General features: G+C 44.2%; 1 annotated feature.

The window, feature by feature from the left end:
* Positions 283–452: an enhancer, noted in NCBI's record as "experimental_18652 CRE fragment used in MPRA reporter constructs". NCBI's record gives its function as "activates a minimal promoter by MPRAs in K562 erythroleukemia cells, with activity observed for the introgressed 11:102504104 variant allele {active_cell/tissue: K562}" and the evidence as "EXISTENCE:reporter gene assay evidence [ECO:0000049][PMID:34662402]".

Here is a 1,024-nt window from a genome sequence, read left to right on the forward strand (position 1 = left end):
AGCAGGGCATGGTGGCGTGCGCCTATAGTTCCAGCTACTTGGGGGGCTGAAGGCAGGAGAATTGCTGGAAGCTGGGAGGCAGAGGTTGCAGTGAGCCGAGATCGCGCCACTGCACTCCAGCCTGAGCGACAGAGCAAGACTCCATCTCAAAAAAAAAAAAAAAAAAAAAGAAAAAAGAAAAGAAAACTACAAAATAAATAAAATAGTTAAACTCATAGAAACAGAGCAGAATGGTGGTTGCCAAGGGTTGGGTTGGGGTGGGGGAGAATAGAGAGTTGCCATTTAATGGGAATATAAAGATCACATATGTGCTGATGAAACCTTAATTTTTATCGTCAGCTCAGATTTTGTTTTAAGATATATTCAAAGGTTTCCTGCAATCTCCGCTTGAATCTCTCCCCACAGGGACTATGAAGTGGCCACCTACTATACTGTCTGCTTAGAGTAGCCACACTGGTCCAATGGGAAGCTATCCTTTCAAACATGTAATTTGAATGAAATTTCTTATTGGCTCTGTCTCTCTGGAAGAGAGGGAAATGCTCGAGGTAAGAAAGGCCCCTGACCTGTGCTGGGCCAATCATAGTTCCTCATTTTCCTGGCCACCTTCTATTGGTCCAAGAATGGGCCAATCAGTGACCCAACTGGATTAATTAGACTGGTTTCCCAGTATTACTGAATTTGGGATTAGAGATTGGGCTCTTTCTGGGGATGGAGAAGTAAGGTTCATGAATCGTTTGTGGTCATGTTCCCTGCTCAGTGGAAATGCCAGGTGGCAGTAGAAGAGAATGAAGCAGAGATGAGAGAAAGAAAGAGAAAGGGAGACTGAAAGTGTTTCATCCTCAGCGAGGCTCAGTAAGCATTCATTTTCTGTAGTTATGTGAGCCTCCCAGTAAGTTTCCCCTTGATCTTAACTAATTCTAGTGGGATTCCTGTCACTTGCATTTCACCTTCAAATTGAGGTCAATTCAGAATAAAACTTGCCATCTTTCGCAACATGCCTTTTCTGCCCGTTCCCCCACCAGCT

The sequence above is a fragment of the Homo sapiens genome, chromosome 11 (assembly GCF_000001405.40).
Source record: "Homo sapiens chromosome 11, GRCh38.p14 Primary Assembly".
Taxonomy (NCBI): domain Eukaryota; kingdom Metazoa; phylum Chordata; class Mammalia; order Primates; family Hominidae; genus Homo; species Homo sapiens.